Here is a 19,686-nt window from a genome sequence, read left to right as displayed (position 1 = left end):
TTACTAAATAACCATGAAACCAAAATGATTCAGCCAGATAACATCAGCCTGCCTCTGTCATTGTCTACCTCAAAACTGATATAATGGGCATATGAACAGAGTTGCTAAGCTGATAAAAATAGAAGTCTCCAAGAGCATGGGTTCCTAACTTAACAAGAAGTAATTTAGCTATTACTTCTGCTAAATATTCAACCTGCCAGCAACAGAGACCAACATTGACTCTGAATTATGGCACTACCCCTTGAGGAAACCAACTTGCCACTTGGTTTGCCTTCTTGCAAGCAGACACTTAGTCATTACCACTATCCAAGAGTTTATACGGCTGGGCGCGGTGGCTCACGCCTGTAATCCCAGCACTTTTGGAGGCTGAGACTGGTGGATTGCCTGAGGTCAGGAGTTTGAGACCAGTCTGGCCAACATGGTGAAAACCCTGTCTCTACTAACAATATAAAAAAATTAGCCGGGCATGGTGGTGTGCGCCTGGAATCCCAGCTACTCGGGAGGCTGAGGCAGGGAAATCACTTGAACCAGGGAGGTGAAGGTTACAGTAAGTCAAGATCACGCCACTGCACTCCAGCCTGGGCCACAGAGCAAGACTCCATCTGGAAAAAAAAAAAAACAAAGTTTACAAAGTGCTTAATCCATTGCTATGGGATCTCACATAATCAGGAGAACTATAGCAAAACAGAGATGGAGTTGGCCCCAAATCAGGAGATCCTCTGGGCATATTATTTGTCTCCTTACATCAAAGTTAGTAGCCTGATAGAGCATTGAAACAGTCTTCTGAAGACACAACTAAAATCTCAGCTCAGGGCCAATGGCCAATGCTTTACAATGACAGGTTGTCAGCTTCTAGGACTAGTATACACTTTGATTCAAAGACCTTCATGTGGTTCTATTTCCCCAAAAGGAAAAATACATGGTTCTAAGAACTAAGGGGTAGAAGAAAAAGTGGTCTCACCTCCTTTCTTTCCCAGTGACTTGATTGAATAATTCATTACTCTGAAACTCTGGATCCTATGGATTTTGAGATCCTGGTTCTCAAAGGGAGAACACTTCTGCCAAAGGATATAGTAACAATCCCATTGTCTTACAAGCTTTGACTGTAGCCTAGGCATTTAGGTTTCTTGTGCCAAGGAACCAGATGGCAACAGGAGGAGTCATCATTTTGGCAAGGTAATTAACCAAACTATCAAGTAGAAGTAGGGCTGCTATTACACAATGGAACAAGGAAGAATAAGTCTAGCAACCCAGGTAACTCACCTGGGTATTTTCGATATTCTCTTTGCCAATTATGATGGCAAATGGACCGAGTTCAGCAATCCTGGTTTTGAGAATGGCATGGTGACCAGAAACTAAGACTACTCAAGGCTGAGAGTATGGGTAGTGCCCAGCTAAACACTGAAACCAACAGAGATGCAAAGTAAAAATAAAGAAAAGCAGGCCAGGCACAGTGTGCATGCCTGTAATTTCAACTAGTCTGGAGGCCGAGGTGGGAAGATCACTTGAGCCAGAAGTTCACGACTAGCCTGTGAAACACAGCAGGATTTCATCTCAACAAAAAAGAAAATAGAAGAAAAGATTCTAAGCTCATTCTTGTTGGAAGAAAGAGAGAGAGAAAGAAAATCTAGACTCAATAGTAGAGGGGAACAATGAGTTTAAGTTGTGACTCTGAGATCAGCTGCAGTATTGGGGCTATAGTTTGTCCTAATATCTTCCTATTCTCAGTTTAGCTCATGAGGAGTCCAGCAGAATTCCAAATAACTGCTTCCTAAATGTGTATTAATAAGAGAATCTGAATGGAGCAAAGGGTAGCCTATGGTAGACGCTATAGTACACCACACAGATTTCTCTTTAATAAAAGAGTTGTTGTCCCAGGTACTTTACCATAGAATGCTGTCAGAAGACTGCCATCATCTGTCAGCCCTTTCAGGGATTGTCTCAGTGCCATAAGTGTCCTCTAGCCCAAGGTTATGTCTTTGCTAGGGATACTCACATGTGATCACCAAATGATGCAGGAACATAAAGGACTGGTCATCTTGGGTCAACTGAGAACAGCTCTGGGGGGCCATTCTGGCTCCAGAGATCCCTGTGGAATTCACGAAGCATGTTGAGTCTGTGTCTCAACTCAATACCTCCTCCTTCTAATCCTGCTTCTTTTTCCACCCTCCAGAGATGTTGGTCCCAAGGATATTCCATTAAAAAAAAATTCTGTACTTTAAACTCCAACACAGAGTTTCTCAATATAACCCAAACTACAATAAAAGAGAATATCTGGAGAAAGAAATAACAAATTCCAGGTCATTTACCTTTTGAAGGAAGAATATACTTTTTGTTTTCTAAAGCAATAGGGTAGTAGGGTGTTAGGGGGCCAAGAGTGAAGTTATTTAATGGAAATGAGGAGGGAGTAAAGTTTCCCAAGCTTTGCATTCCTCTCTAGTAATTTTGTCAAGATGTGGAGGATGGGGACTGGCATGTAAGAGGAACAAGAAAAAAGTGGCCTTGTGACTGGTCATGGACATTGTGCAGATCTATTGGTTGTCCTCATGAAAGCGATGCCCTACAGCAATCTCTGGGTTTCTGCCCAATCCAGACTTGTCAAAAGCCTTTTGCTTGGCATGGAGAAGAGATGAGGAGGCTACCATGGGGCAACTCCAGAGTGAGGCCTGCCATTTAGAGAGAAAAGACATAGGCATGTCCCCTCCTTCCTGCTAACAGCTCTCAGAGGCAGCTCTTGACTCAAGAGGCCCCAGAGGCCCAGCAAATCACAGGATCACAAATGAAAAAGAGCAGGAAAGAATACAGCCACCAATGCCTTAATAGAGATTGCAACTGGCCAAATTTCCAGCCCAAATAATTATCACCTTGGCAGACAAATAGAATTCTTAGGACAAAAGGAAATCTTCAAATGTTTATGTAATTTTTCTACAGGGGAAGAGTTTACTGATTCTAGGAAGGGTGGGCCCTTCGAGGGCTAGCTGCCACACTCCGGTGATTACTCTGAGCATTAACACTTTGGAAATTTTCACCTTTAAAATTTCTTCTCTGTGCTTCAAGTCACAATGGGCAATTCATTCATTTCCTCCCAGAGGGCCTAGCACATGTGACAATCTCCTGAGAAAGACAATTATTACTTCAAGGTGGTCTGCCTGAAGCATCCTTCTCTAATACTGATTTACAGGAAATGGGCCCATGTGAGTGTCTCAGAAGGATAATCACAAGATTGGGAAACTAGATTGGGAGGAATTTTTATAATATGCTTCTCGTTTAAGCACACATACAACTTAAAAACCTGGAAAATGTTTTTCTAAATTCTCTTATTGTCATTTATTTTCATCACAATTTTTAGGCAGGCAGAATTTCTACTAATTTGTTATTATACTCTTTAAACTCATTTCTTTGAGGACCAAAATTATATTCACTCTGTGTGATATAATACACAGAGATATCTATACTCAGGTAGAGAAAACATAGGTAGAGAATATGTTTTTAATAAGGACAACATGAAAGATAAAGATGGTGATGTTTGTGAGATGCTCTAAGGTCCTTTTATAAAAGTCTTCAGATAGTGTTTCTGTTATTAGTAATAAAAATCAGCTTCTCCTGAAAGACCTTCACATCCACAGAAGCAAACAGAAAGGCAAAGTTATAAGGGAGTTGTTATGTTGGTGATAAATCAAATGAGGCTGAACTGCACAGTGTGTTAGGGAAATATAAAAGGGAAGATGAGCCAAGAGATTAGCTGAAGAAACATGTTGCATAGCTGTGCAGGTGGGAAGCACACTAATAAGCAGTGAGCATTCTGGGGAGAGCAGGAAAGCAGTGTTGAACACTATGTCATAGAACAAAGAGAAGCACTCATTAGGAAATGTAATAACTGTGGAAGTAAAAATTGCACAAGGTGGGACAACAACAATTCTGAGGAAGTTGAATTGTAGGTGAAAGCATGTAGGTTAAAAAAAATAAAAACAAAACTCTGAGAAAGGAGGAAGAGATTAAACAAACCCAGATAAATATTAGTCAAGTCAGGACAATGACACCTGTCTGCAAAAGCCAAGGGCTGCTATTCGTCTATCTACCTGCTGAATTTACTTCAACAAAAATACAACATGGAAACCTTCCTAGGTGCAAGTCAACTGCACTTAGCCATTGCAAATGATGCTAAGTCCTAGTGATGGACAAGGAAATGCCATTTGGTTGTCTTTGGAAAGAGTCATGTAAAGCTATTGGCTATTTTTGTCAAAACCAAAATTTAAGCTGAGGTGTCAAGTAGTATAGAGATGGAAAATATGTGCCTTAATATGAATTTGAATCCAACCAGTTATTCTTACATAAGAGGCATAAAATCCATGTAATATGACATTTTCTGCAGGTTGGTATCATTCTATTGTTTAGTAATTTTCACTTAACAGTATGAATCTTTCCCATTGCTGCTCACTGCAATTCATGCTTCCTCTTATCGATCTACTGCCACAACTGCAAATGAGGCTCAAAAACAAGAGGACCTCATAGCCTCTTCATATCTCAGCTTTCTACTGCTCTCTCAGGAATGAGAGGCTACAAAACCTGGAAGAAGGCAGGTAAACAGAAGGAACTAGATGCATAGTGTGAAATCCTCAAATGCTCAAACAAAATTCTTCCCATTTTAAACTGTTGATATCTGTGAAGAGATAATAATTTTTCATTGCACAAAAGTTCATTGTAATAAATTGATGATTACAGAGAATAACAAAATTAATGATTTTCAACTCCAGGTTCTATAGTCTCCCTTAGAAACCCCTGGACTTGATCTAACAGAAATATCTCTTATGGAAATAAGACTAATGTCAGGAACTATTCGGTATGCACTTAATTAAAACCATTAAGTTGACAGAATAGTGTTATAGGTCTAAGGACACTAAAATACATTTATTTCCAAAATGTAGTGTCATCATCCCTTTATATTTTTGTCCAGACTTTTGTTCCACAATTATCTGAAACAAAGATTAAACAGATAAAGAAATCCACAGACTTACCATGATATTATTTTGTTTCATATTCCTAGGCCAGGAATTTACAAATTACGTGCCTAAACTAATTGGTATAAAGTTTGAGAAAACAAAACAGTTAAGTAAAAGAATGGCAAAGTATAGAGTCTGAGATTTGCTATTTTGTATCCTACACAGTCTATCAAAGTGATTTTACTTCATTTTCCCAGATCTGGCACCCAGCTTGTCTTAAGTATCTTATGTGTGCTAACCATACCACACACCAAAGAAACTGTAATACTGTATTCAGTATTACAGGCTCCTCCCCACTGACTCAGATAGCTAATTACCACCACCTATCTCACTACCCAGTTACTAAGTTGAAGGCAAAATAAATTTAAGAGCAAAGCATCCAAAAAGTTGACCACCAATAATTTCACTATCTGAAAATATGCCACATAAAAATATTTTAAATGTCAAAAGCTCTGTGATCTAATTTCAGTAGATAATAACTTGAGCAGTTTTGAACGAACTTATATTTCTAGATTTCCCACACACCTCACAAAGGAGAACCTTATTATTTTAATGATTTTTTAAAGATTTATTTTAGTGTTTTGACTAATAGAGATTAGAATGTAGTTCTCTCTTAGAAGCCACGTCCTTCTATTTTGTATTAATTAAGTCTAACCATTGCTCAAAATCCTTGGATTTGGGGAATATAGAGGTGAATGAAGAACAAAATCTTTTCACTTAAACCAATGAACTTTGTTCTGATTGGACATCACATTTACATTCAAAACAGTCATCATAAGCACTTAAAAATGTAATTTTAATTAAGAGATTAATTTGATAGAGTCATTAATTAAACCACCACTAGTAGAAGGGAAAGAATTACTTGAGATATCGATTTAATTTTTGCTTTACTCTTTCTAACAAAAGAATGACAAAATGAACTCTCTGGAGAATAAAATGGAATTATCGTACCTTCAGAACCAACTCTCATTGGCTGAAGTACTCAGTAAGCACTGCAACAGAAACAAGTTTGTTTGGCTTACCAACCTATTGTCAGCTACTAATGCATAGTAAATGCTTCAGAGTTTTGAAAGTCTAAATATCATTTTAGCTGGTATTTAGACCTTCTAACTGGTATTTGCATCAGAAGTGTGATGCTTCCAAACAATTTATTTATGGAAAGATAGATAAATACTAATCCAAAAAGACAAAGGAAGTATCGTTGTCCCACTGAATTAAGTAACAATGAGTTAGAGACATGCATGATAATATAAATAATTCATTTATTTATTCCATAAATATGTATGTACTATAATACACTAGAATCTCTCGATCTTCAGTGATAGATTATATACCTGCCAAATACAAAATATGTGCACTCCACAAGGCTGAGATTATCACATTCTTTTAAATTAGTCTTCTGGAGTTGAATTTAAAGCAATTTAACTGTGTTTGAAATGAGATATTTCTGAAGAAGATTTGGTCTGCTCCATGGACCAATGGTTAGGAAATTCCTAAATGGAACATTTAAGCTGAACATTTTAAAGAGCATCAGCAAAAAAAGAGCTAATGGACTGTGACTCCATTTCCCCCAGGAAAGTAATAAAAGGGTCCCAAAAATAATTACACTCACATTGGGCAAAAATAACCTCCTGGCAGAGATTCAAATAGTTGTTCCAATTGGGCCATTAGGAAAATGCTTAGATCAAAAGTCGCCACTGGAATTGTTCTTTATAACAGTTCTACTGTCAAGCAGAAAGAAATGAACCATTTCTTGTTTGATGCTTTAAGACTTTGAAATAGGACTAAGATATAACAGCATGTTGCAGGAGAAGAATTCTACAATGAGTTTGAACTGGATGACCTGCTAAATGTTTACCACCTTTTATTTCTGTGACTCATCCCTATGCAGTTAAGCACACCATAAAAATAAAGCTGTGTGGGAACATGGCTATCAATAACAACAAAAATAATAACACTCTGTCTCCTTCCTTAGATGAAAGGGTCTGTGTTTTTACAAAGCACTCTGCAAACTTTATCTTTTTAATTCTCACAACACTCAAGGAGTGTAGGAGGCAAGTATTATTATCCCATTTTGCAAATGGAGAAATTGAGGTTCATGGAGTTTGACTTGCCTATGGCCACAAAACAAGTAAACAAAACAAAGCACACCTATAATCCCAGCCACTTGGGAGGCTGAGGCAGGAGAATCACTTGAACCCAGGAGGCGGAGGTTGCAGTCAGCTGAGATCTCCACCGCGCTTCAACCTGGGTGATAAGAGTGAAACAACTCCGGCTCAAAAAAAAAAAAAAAAAGGCTGGGAGGCCGAGGAGGACGGACCATTTGAGGTCAGGATTTGGAGACCAGCCTGGCCAACATGGTGAAACCCCATCTCTACCAAAAATACAAAAAATTAGCCAGGCGTGGTGGCAGGCGCCTGTAATCACAGCTACTCAGGAGGCTGAGGCGGGAGAATCGCTTGAACCCAGGAGGTGGAGGCTGCAGTCAGCTGAGGTCGTGCCATTGCACTGCACTCCAGCTTGGGCAGTAAGAGCAAAACTCCATCTCAAAAGCAAACAAACAAAAAACTACTGGGAGAAAATGAATTAAGGTACTCTCTCAAAGGATGGCTTTGAAAAGGATGAAAAGAAAAACAAGAGCTTCTGAAGTAAAGTATGTGGCAGTATTTTGAGAAAATTAAGAAAAAAATAAATGGAAGATAGTTAGCTGTCTGCTGTTTCATTACAGTGATAATCATACAAACTGGAATTCTACTATCCTAAACATTCAGGTTCAAATTTTCAAGCAATATTCAATGCAGTTCTATATGTCAGCCTTAGAGCAAGTACCTGCACTATCTGGCCACAAAACAAAACAATTAATTAATTTTAAATGAATGTGAAAACAATTGAATGAGTTAATAAATGAATGAATGGATAAAATAAACTTTTAAGAAACAAAGTAAAGAAATATATTTGGCCCATCCACATCTTTTGGGGCATGACTAAGACTTTCTTGTATAAATAGTAGCCAAAGCAGACCTAACATTGTCCGAAAGGACAGTGTCTTTGTTTGCTCCTATAATAGAATACCACAGATTGGGTAATTTATAATGAACATAAATTTATTGGCTCACAGTTCTGGAGGCTAGAAGTCCAATATCAAGGTGCTGGCATCTGGCAAGGACTTTCTAGCTATGACATAACATGGCAGAAGGCACCACATAGTGGAAGGGCAAAAAGGGAGAGAAAGAGAGGAAGATAGGGCAAACCCACTCCAGTGATAATAATGGAGTGATAATAACAAACCACTCCTGCAAAAACGGGCATGACTCCATTCATAAGCATGGACCCCAAAAGACCTAAACACCTCATAAAGGTCTCACCTCCCAATACAATCAACATGGCAATTAAATTTCATCATGAGTTTTGGAGAAAACAAACATTCAAATCACAGAACACAAGAAAGAACTAATAGAAGAAAAGTGTAACAATGATGACAATTGTCATTTTAGATGGGCCAATGTTCTCCAGATTTCCTTGGGCACCTGTGTTTCCTAATTCAAAGCACAGCTCAGCTCATTCTAGGCATGCACTGTGAAACCCGAAAATTTGAGAGTTTTCAGTTAATTTAGAAAGTTTATTTTGCCAAGGTTGAGGACACGCCTGTGACACAGCCTCAGGAAGTCCTGATGACGTGTGCCCAAGGTGGTCAGGGCACAGCTTGGTTTTATACATTTAGGGAGACATAAAACATCAACCTATATATGTAAGAAGTACATTGGTTCAGTCTGGGAAGGCGGGACCACTTGAAGCAAAGGCAGGAAGACTCCAAGGTGGGAGGGAGCTTCCAGGTCACAAATAGGTGATACACAAATGGTTATATTCTTTTGAGTTTCTGATTAGGATTTCAAAAGGAGACAAATCAGATATGCATCAATCTATTTCAGTGAGCACAGGAGTGACTTTGAATAGAATGGGAGGCAGGTTTGCCCTAATCAGTTCCCGGCTTGAGTTCTCCTTAGTGATTTGGGGGACATGAGATATTTTCCTTTCACACACTCCATGCACTACCGCATCACCTGAACAAATTTAAGTCACTCATCCTTTCAATCATTGTGATCATGTTACACACGCCCTTTGGGCACTAGATATTAGGGACTGTACCTCAAGGAGCCACAGAGATCTTATGTACCCTTGATTTAGATGGCTGAGTCAGAAGCAGGATGGGCACAGCAAAGGAGACAGCAGGCAGAGTCTCAGCAGCCTCGCAGTTAACCCAAAAGGAAGGAATACGTTAGTCCTCTTCTTTCTTTTCACCTTGACATTTTGGGATTCTCTACATTTATTATTTGTGGTTACATATTTGGCTTCTCAAACTTCTAAAATACAGCTAAGTTGATGAAAATGGGTCAAATGGGAAGAAGTTGACCAAGTAAATAGAGGAAGGCCAATGCAATTTCGGGGAAATGAATGTTTACTTTTTTAAAAACAGTTTTTACCACATGTTGATTTTATATTTTTTCAGTTGTCATCTATTATTAGTCTTTAGAACCAGAAAACATACAAAAACAAAGTCAGTAAGCTTAGCACCCTTCTCTGTACATAGTAAAATAAACACAATCCCACGGCAGACAGACCTTTGCATTTCTATTATCAGCACAGCAACAGTACATATGGTGGCAAAAGCAAGACAGCCTTAAGAAGTTCTGTGTTTCTGCTCTCTCTTGAACCACAGATGGGCACCCTGCATATTTAATTTGTAGGCACTACATTGACCAATTTATTTATTCTTACAAGTCCAGCTTTTATACTGATACAGGTAGTTACTGCATTTATCATTTGGTTATAAAATAAGCATAATTTTATAATTATATAAAGTAAATGTTTATATATCAGATATATTTATATATCTTACCATGTGTTATATATTTAATAGATAGATACATTTATTTTATGTACAGAGATTTATTAAGAATTATGTTCATCATTGTGATCAATGGTGTAACATGTCATTCAGAGCTCCCTTAAGGAATGAAGGGCTTATGCCCCCAGCTATCAGGAAATAGTCCTCTTTCTTAGTCCTGCTTTGGAATTCTCTCACCAGAGTAAAAATATCGCAGCTAAAGATACATTTCCTTCCAGTTACTGATCAACATGGGGAGCTCTCTTTATCCAACTCAGAACAACTCAGAAGGGCCATCCCAGCTCCAGGGCTCCGAGCAAGGTGGGCTAGTCCCTTGTGGATATTGCAGCATGGCTCAACTTTTTTCTATTCCAAATTCTGCTTCCTTGCCCTCTCTTCCACAGGATTGATTTTCAAGAACCCTTTTTAAAAATACTCTGCATGCTTATTCCCATCTCAGAGAACTGCTTTCTGGGGACTTCTGCCAACACATCACAGTTATAGTAATCAGTGTCTCTTCCTAAAGACGGAAAATAAGATAATAAATATATTCAAAGGCTGGGCAGATCAAAGATATCATGGGTAAACCTGGAGTTTGAGAAATGTAGGGTGAATGGTTTTATAAATCAGTAGGAAAATAAACCTTTAAAATGAATTCCACAGTTTTCAGAAATCTTTTATATAGGATTTTAAAATGATTCTATTTAGAAATATATTCAAATGTTATTTTAACATTCTCAATGAGAAAGCTGAATTCAATACCAAGTGATTCTTATTTGTACTCCATCATGAGGATTGCCTATTAACAGACAAAAGCCAGCATGGAGTAGAAGGACAACTAGGATGAAATACCAACTCTCCTCGCTTTCTGTGCAGCCTTCAGCAAGTCACTTAACATCTTTGAGCCTTGTTTCCCCTGTCTGTTAAATAAAAAATATAACAAAATGAAACACATTATGGAATCTGCCCAGCTCAATGCTTGGCACATTGTGTTAGCCCAATAAATTTTTGGTTTTCTTCTAAGGTTGAAGAGTAGTGTTATCTTTTAACCTCATCATAAGGGAGGTTTACATTCCAGTAAGACTCCAGATAAATTCAAAGAAATTCCTATGTATGTATGGTATCATACAGATATTCTTAAAAATCTAGAAGTTATGGAAACTTCATCAAAACTTTCTCTGACTTCTCAAATGCACACTTTCTACCTTCTGTTTGTCCTCATCATATCTTCTAGGACTTGATTATTCCCTAAGAGGCTCATGTATGTTAATTTCTCTCATTTTAATTAAGCCCCAGGATCACAAATAAATAGCCTCTAGTGCTTATCAGAAATGAGCCTTTCATATTCATTTATTCTGCTAGAGATCTGTTTCCTGGAGGATTAACTTTAGTAACAATAGCCTTAGCAACATCTTTGGACATTGACTTCTATTCTCAACCAAATGTAATCTTTGTTTCCTCAAAGTTAACCAACCTGATGGATTTCATTAAGAATCATTCAGCCGGGAACGATGGCTCATGCCTGTAATCCCAGCACTTTGGGAGGCCAAGGCGGGCGGATCACAAGGTCGTGAGATCAAGACCATCCTGGCTAACACGGTGAAACCCCATCTCTACTAAAAATACAAAATATTAGCCGGGCGTGGTGGCACGCGCCTGTAGTCCCAGCTACTCAGGAGGCTGAGGCGGGAGAATAGCGTGAACCCGGGAGGCGGATGTTGCTTAGTGAGCCAAGATCGCGCCACTGCACTCCAGCCTGAGCGGCAGAGCAAGACTCTGTCTCAAAAAAAAAAAAAAGGAATAATTCAAATCTCACTTAATCGTGTCCTTAATCTCACATCATCATGAGTTGATGTCCTTTCAAGGCTCTTCGGTTTCTCCTCCCATTTGTCCTTTGTGCTCTCACTGAGTACTCTTTCACTCTCCAGACCTGCTCATGGTGGCATCCAGAAGCCTCTTTAGAGTGACAGCTTTGGTGCCCCCGCCATGCCCTCCATGACAACCCTCATGCCTGGGTGCCTCCTTCTGAAGTCTACAAAGTGAACAACACTTAAGTAGCTAACACCACTCTGTGTCCCCTGAAGTCTTGCAAACACTCAAGCTGAATCATGCAGTGAGTTGTGGGAAATGAGCCAGAGAGGAAGGCAGGGACCAGAGACAAGAGCTTTTCCGCCATGCTAAAAACTTGGACTTAGCCTGTAGTTAGCAGGGGGTCATATCAAGGTTTAAGCAGGGACTTGACATATATATTTGTGTTTCAACAAAAATCACTCTAGCTGAAGTATAGAGAATGAGTTGGAGGAAGACTGAGATTGTTGAATCAAAAAGAAAGGTTAAAAAGATTCTGTAGTGGTGCAAGAAAGAGATGGTGGAGACCTCAAATGAAGCCATTGCCATGTTTCTGTGCTGTCTGGAAGGGGGACTGATTTCTCTGGACTATCTTTACTGGGTTTCTATGTCAGGTAGTTTTTTATTAGATTTGGCCAGCGGTATTTACTGGAAGGAGATTGGGAAGAAAGAAGAAAAAAAATCAACGCATTTCATCCTCTGTCTAGGCCTCAGGTGACACCTCCAGCAGCCATTGTATTCTCTTCTTGCCTCTAGCTGCCTCCCTGCACATATGCCACAGTTCTGGCTTCTGCCCAAGGATCCCACCCCTGGGCTCTGGGAACCCCATTTCCTCCCTTTGTTTCTCCAGCCCGGAGTTGATTGTAGCTTCCTGCTGTTACTAACATTGAGTTGTCTCATTGTCTCCTATTTGGCTTCTCACCTTTTCCATCACCTGTACAACAATCTGCTCTATAAATTCTCTCTTTTAAAATATTTGAAGAGATTTTTCATTTCCTGGTTGGACCCTGACTGACACAGGAGGGGATGCATTTGAGAAATATTAGAATGACTCTATTAGAAGGCAGAGTCATTGGAACTTTGTGGAGATAAACCTTACTCCCTAACTAAAGTTGGCCTCACTCTTTTGCAAATTACTGAACTGAAGTGTGTTGTTTTGATTCCTCATCTACCTGGCTTCTCCCTCTTCCATAGGAAGTTATTTGCCGTATTGGAGAGACTGTCAGTTCTTAAATTCTTTTTTAAAATACTCAAAAACGCCGCCCGTGTGAGCCAGAGAAGTCTCTGTGGGTGCTTGATTTCCACAGGAACCATTCATGGTCTAGGTCTCCCAGGCTTCAGACTGGCAGCTTCCACAGAATGAGCGAAACCCTGCAGGACAGGGCCAAATCTGATGGCCCAGGTATCAGTACTGGATTAAGAATACACCACTTAAAGATCCAAAGGAGCAAAGTTGTTAAGATACTATTTTATTGGGTGGAATCAGGACAAGGGCTACCAGTTTCTACTGAACAGGAAAAGGGCAAGGAAATGATGCTGAGTACATTGATATACAGGTTAAAGAGGATGGTGTTGCAAAAATGTATGATCTGCGTGGCCTGACCAGGTAAGAGGCCAAGAAACAAATGGGCACAGATGCCCTGTGAGATGCTGAAGATGCTGCCGTGCTGCCTGCCTGAGTAGCAGAGAGAACGTGCCAAAGAGGAGTTGCCTTTTCTAGAGAACTGTTTAGTTTGCAACTAATACATGCTTAATGGGGGTTGATCAGTCTAGCAGATATTTTCTTTTCGTTTCTTTTTTGATTAAGTAAATTTTTAATTTCAGAAGAGTTTTAGATTTACAGAAAAGTTACAAAGATATTATAATACAGAGAACCCCTGTGTATTCCTTACCCATTTTCCCCTGTTGTTAACATCTTACAATTGTATATTTGTCACAACTGAGAAACCGATATTGATGCATTATGCCTCACTTTATGTGAATTGCACTAGCGTTTCCTTCATAGCCATTTTTTCCCAGGATCCCACTACTTTACATTTAGAGGCATTTTATGTTTATTTTCAATCTACCTTAATTTTTAAAGAGAAAAATATTTGCTCACATTTATTAAAGGAGTACTCAAATAAATCCCCAAAATGTATTAATATTATTTTAAACTGTAGTACACTTTCTCCAGGCAGATCAAGCTAAATTCTCTTGTGTATAAGAGTGTACTTAGAGTGCACAGAGGCGCAGTAGCCAAACCACATGGTTCAAATCACAGTGCACCGCTTTCTATCTGGGCAGCCTTGGAAAAATACTTAAGTATTTAATCCCTCTGGGCTTTAATTTTCACATCTATAAAATGGAAAGTGATAGTACATTACCTCATGGATGTGATATGTACATTAAAATTAATAATACATATAAATCACTGAGAAGAGTGCCTGGGTACATAGTGAGCATGGAATTAACCTTAGTTGTTATTACTGTTACTATCGCTATTTGATTCCAGAGTATCCTATGTATTTCTTTTCTTGACACTCATCACACTTTTAAGTATGTCTCATATTTGTCTTCACTTCCAGATGGCAATTTTCATGAGTTCAAAGACATTCCTACCCAACTCATAGTGGATGTTCGGGAAACAGTCTCTTAATTGTCCATCCTGACTGCAGAGCCATCAAACAATGACATGCAATGTGAAAGCTTGAAGGAAGAGAAAGTGAATGAGGTGAAGATAGACAGACAAGCAGATAAATGGGATATAGAGACACAGAAATATAGTCAGGGAAGTACAAAGGTCAAATGAGAACAATTTTTTAAATTGCAAAATAAAAACTATATTTATATGTACAACATGATGTTTTGAAATACGTATATATTGTGGAATGGCTATATCAAGCTAATCAACATATGCATTACCTCACATACCTATCATTTTTTTGTGGTGAACACACTTCAAATTGATTCTCTTATTAATTTTTAAGTATGTAAAACATTGTTATTAACTATAGTCTTTATGCTGTAGATCTCTTGAGTTCATTCTCTTTAAATTTTGTTTCCCAGCCATTGATATATGACACTCTGTCTCCACTCTTAAACTCATTTTCTCTTCGTGTGTTACATAAAACTGAAAGGGAATGTATTTTTCTGAAATTAACAATTTAAAAGTTCAGCAGGAGGACACTGCCCTTTCAAGCACTGGTAATGAAGAATGGCAGAAAGAATTCTGGATGGAATTCTCAGCTACAGCTTTCTGGTAAAACTGGCATTAGTGATGCACAGGAGATGAACACGTATTATATTGAAATGGCATCAATATTCCAGTTTCTTGCCAAATGCCTTGAATAGCTGATTGTGCTTCATGTACAAATGTACACTTGGGCTCTGTGAATCCCAGGCACAGATGTCTGTAAAGCCACATGTATTTCTGCCATAAAGTCCACTTTAAAATGTGCTCCACTCTTATCCAGACCTCCAGTCAAGGAAGTTGTTAAATCCATTTTTTTTCTTTTTTCCTGTACTTTGTTTTTGCCTTTGAAATATTGCTAAGCAGTTGTCCCACAGGGTGGAGGTGGAATTAGCAGCTGCAGCATTTCTTGTGCCACCGTCATCTCTTTGGTATGTGGCTTCCTTTCACTCTCATGCTGGGGAAGATCCCACCCATCCTTTGCATTCCTCCTGAGCAAGTTGTGTCAAGGAAAGTCGAGAGAGGAAGCGATTCCCATCCTATGGGTGTCATCAAATAGGAAGGTTTTAATTAGTTTCTCAGGATGTTCTCAGTTTCTGCACTGAGCAGCCCTTCCCTTCTTTGGCATTAAAGCACTTGGATTCTTCAAGAAACACACAATTTTGCTCTGTTAGGCACTAAACTCTGTGTATTCAAATGTAATAAGGAGTCATGAAGCCTGTCTTTCCTAGCACTTACCATGGTTGTAATCTTACATTTATTTGTATAATTAGTTGAGCCATGACTGTCTCTTCACTATGCTCAGGATTCTAGGAAGGCAGTGACATGTCTAATTTTGCAATCCATTGTATCTGCAGGCACTCAATAAATGGTTTCAAGATAAAATAACGAACATATGATTGAAAAAACTTCTCCTACAGCAAACAAAATAGAACCTGATGCATAAGTGACCCTTAGAGATTGCTTCTGCCTGACGTTCCTAGAAGAAGAAATGATGATCATATAGTATTTTCTGTGTACCAGACACTATTCTAAGTGCATCACATTGATTTTATCTATTAACCTTCATAAAACACTATGACCTAGATTCCACCATTATCCCCATTTTACAGATAAGAAATATAAGACATGAAGGGAGAGGTTTAGTGAAATAGCTCAACATCACATGGCAAGAAGGTAAAGGGAGACCCTGGAGTGGAGCACGGTCCAATTGGCTATAGAGACTGTTCCCCAATCCACGATGTGATTCTGCCTTCTGGGATGCAAATGGAGATAGTGCTTTGGATTCACAGAGTGTAAGTGGCATGAGTGATAGTAGTCCTAGCTAGCCATGAAAAAAAAAAAAACCTCAAGTCTGGACAGATGTAGATATGATCATAAACCATATTTGAATATTTGACAGAGAGATACAGACATACACTTCATATGTAACAAGATCAAGGACTATGTATTATCAGTGGAAAAAAAATACAGGCAAAAATTCTCTCTTGAATGTCTTTAAAGTCAAATATACTCATAGACATGTATTGAAAAATCTTACTCTTTTTTTCTAAAATATCACCTTAAGGGTTGTTGTCATTTGAGAATTCATATTATTGCCCACTCCTCTCCAGTTACTTCATGGAATACTGTCAAATTCCAACTGGCTGAAGAATAGAGGTTTTATCCCTTAAAATAAGATTTCGGTATGAAGAAATGTTCCTACAGAACTGAAAGACGTGTAGTTCATGCCAAGTGGCATTTCAGACACAAAGAAATGGGTAGGAAAACATTTCTCTTTTCTCTGAATTCCCATTGCACATTGGGCCATTTTTCTTTTTCTTGACATTTAATGTATTGTATTCTTACATCTGTGCACAAGTTTTACCTCCCCACAAAAACTATAAACTCTTTAAAACGGGAACTGTGCCTTACAGTAAAAGGCAGTGTGCTGGAAAGAAACTAACAAGACTTTTATTAGCAAGTGGAATCATCACTTACTATTTGCACAACCTTGGGCAAGTTAACTTCTCCTAGTCTTGATTTATTCCTCTATAAAAAAAAGATTCATAACGGTATATAGTATTATTAGCTAGAATTTCAAAAGAGTATTTGGGACTTGGATTAAATGTGGAAGATTGAAACATATGTGCTTTACTCCAGTAACACATTAAAATTTCAGTAAATAAATTAAAACTTTTTAAACCCTAGGGCAAAGAAAGCAAAGGAAAAGATAAAAGAGAAAACAAGATTATATATACATATATGGAAAGCAATGGACTGACTTGAAGTAACCAATTTGGCAAACATGGAGTCTCTGCAGTGAATGAAATCATGAAGAAGGCTTATTTGCACTTCAGAATCTCAGAGGGCTCAGGAGTTCAGGCAGGAGGTGCCTTGAAAGTAGGGTGTTGATGGTGATAAAAAGATGAGGGCCAACTGAAAATCTTTGTAAGGAGCAGTGAAAACCTTGGATCTCTTCCCTTCCTGCACAACAGAATGTCTACATGGCTTAACTGTGCATAATATTTATATAAACATAGCAATGTATAGGCTGAACAGTGATCTGATAAAAATTATAATGTTCATGATCTTAGGAAACAGAAGTGGAAGTGTGTGTTAGGGTGAGGGCAGGTATTTAAGGAAGCTAAACAAATGCCTTCCATTGTAGGATGTTTATAGGCGATATTTAAAATCAACAAATGAATAAATAGCAGAATAGCATGTTATGTAACCCTAAAGGCAAATACCAGAAGAAACAGCTAAAAGGATTAAAAGTGGCTTCCTCTAGGTGATGAGAGGTGAGAAGGGCTGTGGAAGACAGAATTTGGTGTTTTATATTATAAGCCTTGAAGAAGATTTGACTTTGATATACATGTATATTTTTAATTATAAAAATATTTTTTAAAATGAATGCTGGGCTACAGAAGGCAGTCAAGAAACATCAACAGTAGCTCCCTTTAATTCCTGATCATTATTATTTTCCCCACATATTTATTTATATTCATGTTTATTGTGCTGCAGGTTCTCATTAAATGTTTGCTAAATGACTAAGCGAATAACTCATCAAGGTTTACAGATTGAATCACCAACAAAATCATCAGAAGAGAAAAAAAGAAGAGACATATATATTGCCTTCTATTTTATAATGGGACTGTCGCCCATGAATAAAGTTTTGACCAATTTATGGTCAGTCTTTTTGGCATTTTTTTATGGGACGGACAGGGAGAAGCTGCTATAAATACAAAATCAAGTAATTGTTCCAAAGGTGTGTCCTGTGAAATATGAGAATTATGTGCAACTTGAAAAACTCCCTTAAAATACTATTAGCTACCTAAACATGACAGGTTAATTAATCTGACAGCATCAACTCTTAAAATGACCTTTGCCGTCACCAGTGTTACATGTGTCCATATTTCTCTACACCCTCCCCACTTCCACAAGCATGGTGGTGATTGATACATTATTTGTATTGATCAGGAAACGAGACCCCTGACTCTAGGCATATTTACTCTTGGGGAGTATAGCACACCTCAGCACAAACACACACTCAGACTTCACAGAGCATGAACAAGCAACTGTCACTTTCAAGAACAAATTTCACATTTTGGTTTTGTATTTACTATTCTGTCCAGAGAGATTCTGCTCTCCACAATTTTCCTCTCCACCAGCTCTCTCCTCCAGCCTGCTTTCATTAGGATTAATGAGTATAAAGAGATTAGGGTAGGAAGAGAGAAACAGAGCCACATGGACAAGCTCTATTTCCTCCATTAGTCTGCTCTGCTGTCTCATTTATTTAGTGACCCCTGCCTGCCATGGCCACAACTCCTTCACTGAATCCATAGTCTGGACCTCAACCAAGGAAGAAACAATGCAGGTCTATCACTTTGTTTGCTTGCTTGTTTGTTTGCTTGTTTGTTTTGAGACAGAATCTCTCTCTAGTCTCTGCACCCAGGCTAGAGTGCAGTGGCATGATCCCGGCTGACTGCAACCTCCCAGGTTCAAGCAATTCCCATGCCTCAGCCTCTGGAGTAGCTGGGATTATAGGCGCATACCACCATGCCTGGCTATTTTTTTTTTCAATAGAGACGGGGTTTCACCATGTTGGCCAGGCTGGTCTCGAACTCCTGGCCTCAAGTGATTCACCCACCTCGGCCTCCCATGGTGCTGGGATTACAGGCATGAGCCACCACACCCAGCCCTTGCTTATTTGTTGAAATGCATGAAGGGAGAACAACACAAGGGGATGAGACAGAGCTTTTCTTTTCTAAAACAGTTGCTTCTGAACAATCCAAATGACACGCACTTTTGAAGAACTTTTTAAAAATTATGTTTCCAATAGTAACAATAAGTTAAACTCTCTGTCCCAACAACCACACATGCTGCTCAGCTGGTGACTTATGATTAACAGTCCCTATGAAATACAAAACTCAGTCAAATAGCAACAATTCAGATTAAACACAAGCCAAATCAGCAGATGCCTGGCACCATGTACTAAATGCCAGCAAAGGAAGCTCTGTTGGAATGCAAGAGGGAGGGAATTCCAGAGACACTGAGTCAGCCTGGAAGCCATCTTAATACTGCCAGGCATGGGGAGGGACATGGGAAAAGTCCCAGGTGAAGAGTTCAAAGTTTGCTGAATCGACTTTCTTATTAAAAACCTTCAATGATGTAAGTTTTCTAACCATGGGATAATTATCTGAATGCTCAGTTTTACTATTTTATACGAATCAAACATCAAAAAAGGACAAGGATGGAGTCCCAAAGGAGAATAGAATACTTGCATTTCGAGAAAATGTCCA

At 38.7% G+C, this 19,686-nt stretch overlaps 2 annotated features.

The window, feature by feature from the left end:
- Positions 10,973-11,553: an enhancer, noted in NCBI's record as "NANOG hESC enhancer chr5:57141460-57142040 (GRCh37/hg19 assembly coordinates)". NCBI's record gives its function as "activates a minimal SCP1, AML or CMV promoter by ChIP-STARR-seq in naive H9 embryonic stem cells {active_cell/tissue: H9 hESC(naive)}" and the evidence as "EXISTENCE:reporter gene assay evidence [ECO:0000049][PMID:30033119]".
- Positions 19,250-19,544: a silencer, noted in NCBI's record as "tiled region #14379; K562 Repressive non-DNase unmatched - State 24:Quies". NCBI's record gives its function as "represses a minimal TATA promoter and a strong SV40 promoter by Sharpr-MPRA in K562 cells {active_cell/tissue: K562}" and the evidence as "EXISTENCE:reporter gene assay evidence [ECO:0000049][PMID:27701403]".

Source organism: Homo sapiens, chromosome 5 (assembly GCF_000001405.40).
Source record: "Homo sapiens chromosome 5, GRCh38.p14 Primary Assembly".
NCBI classification, from domain to species: domain Eukaryota; kingdom Metazoa; phylum Chordata; class Mammalia; order Primates; family Hominidae; genus Homo; species Homo sapiens.
This window is presented reverse-complemented; position numbering and strand designations above follow the sequence as displayed.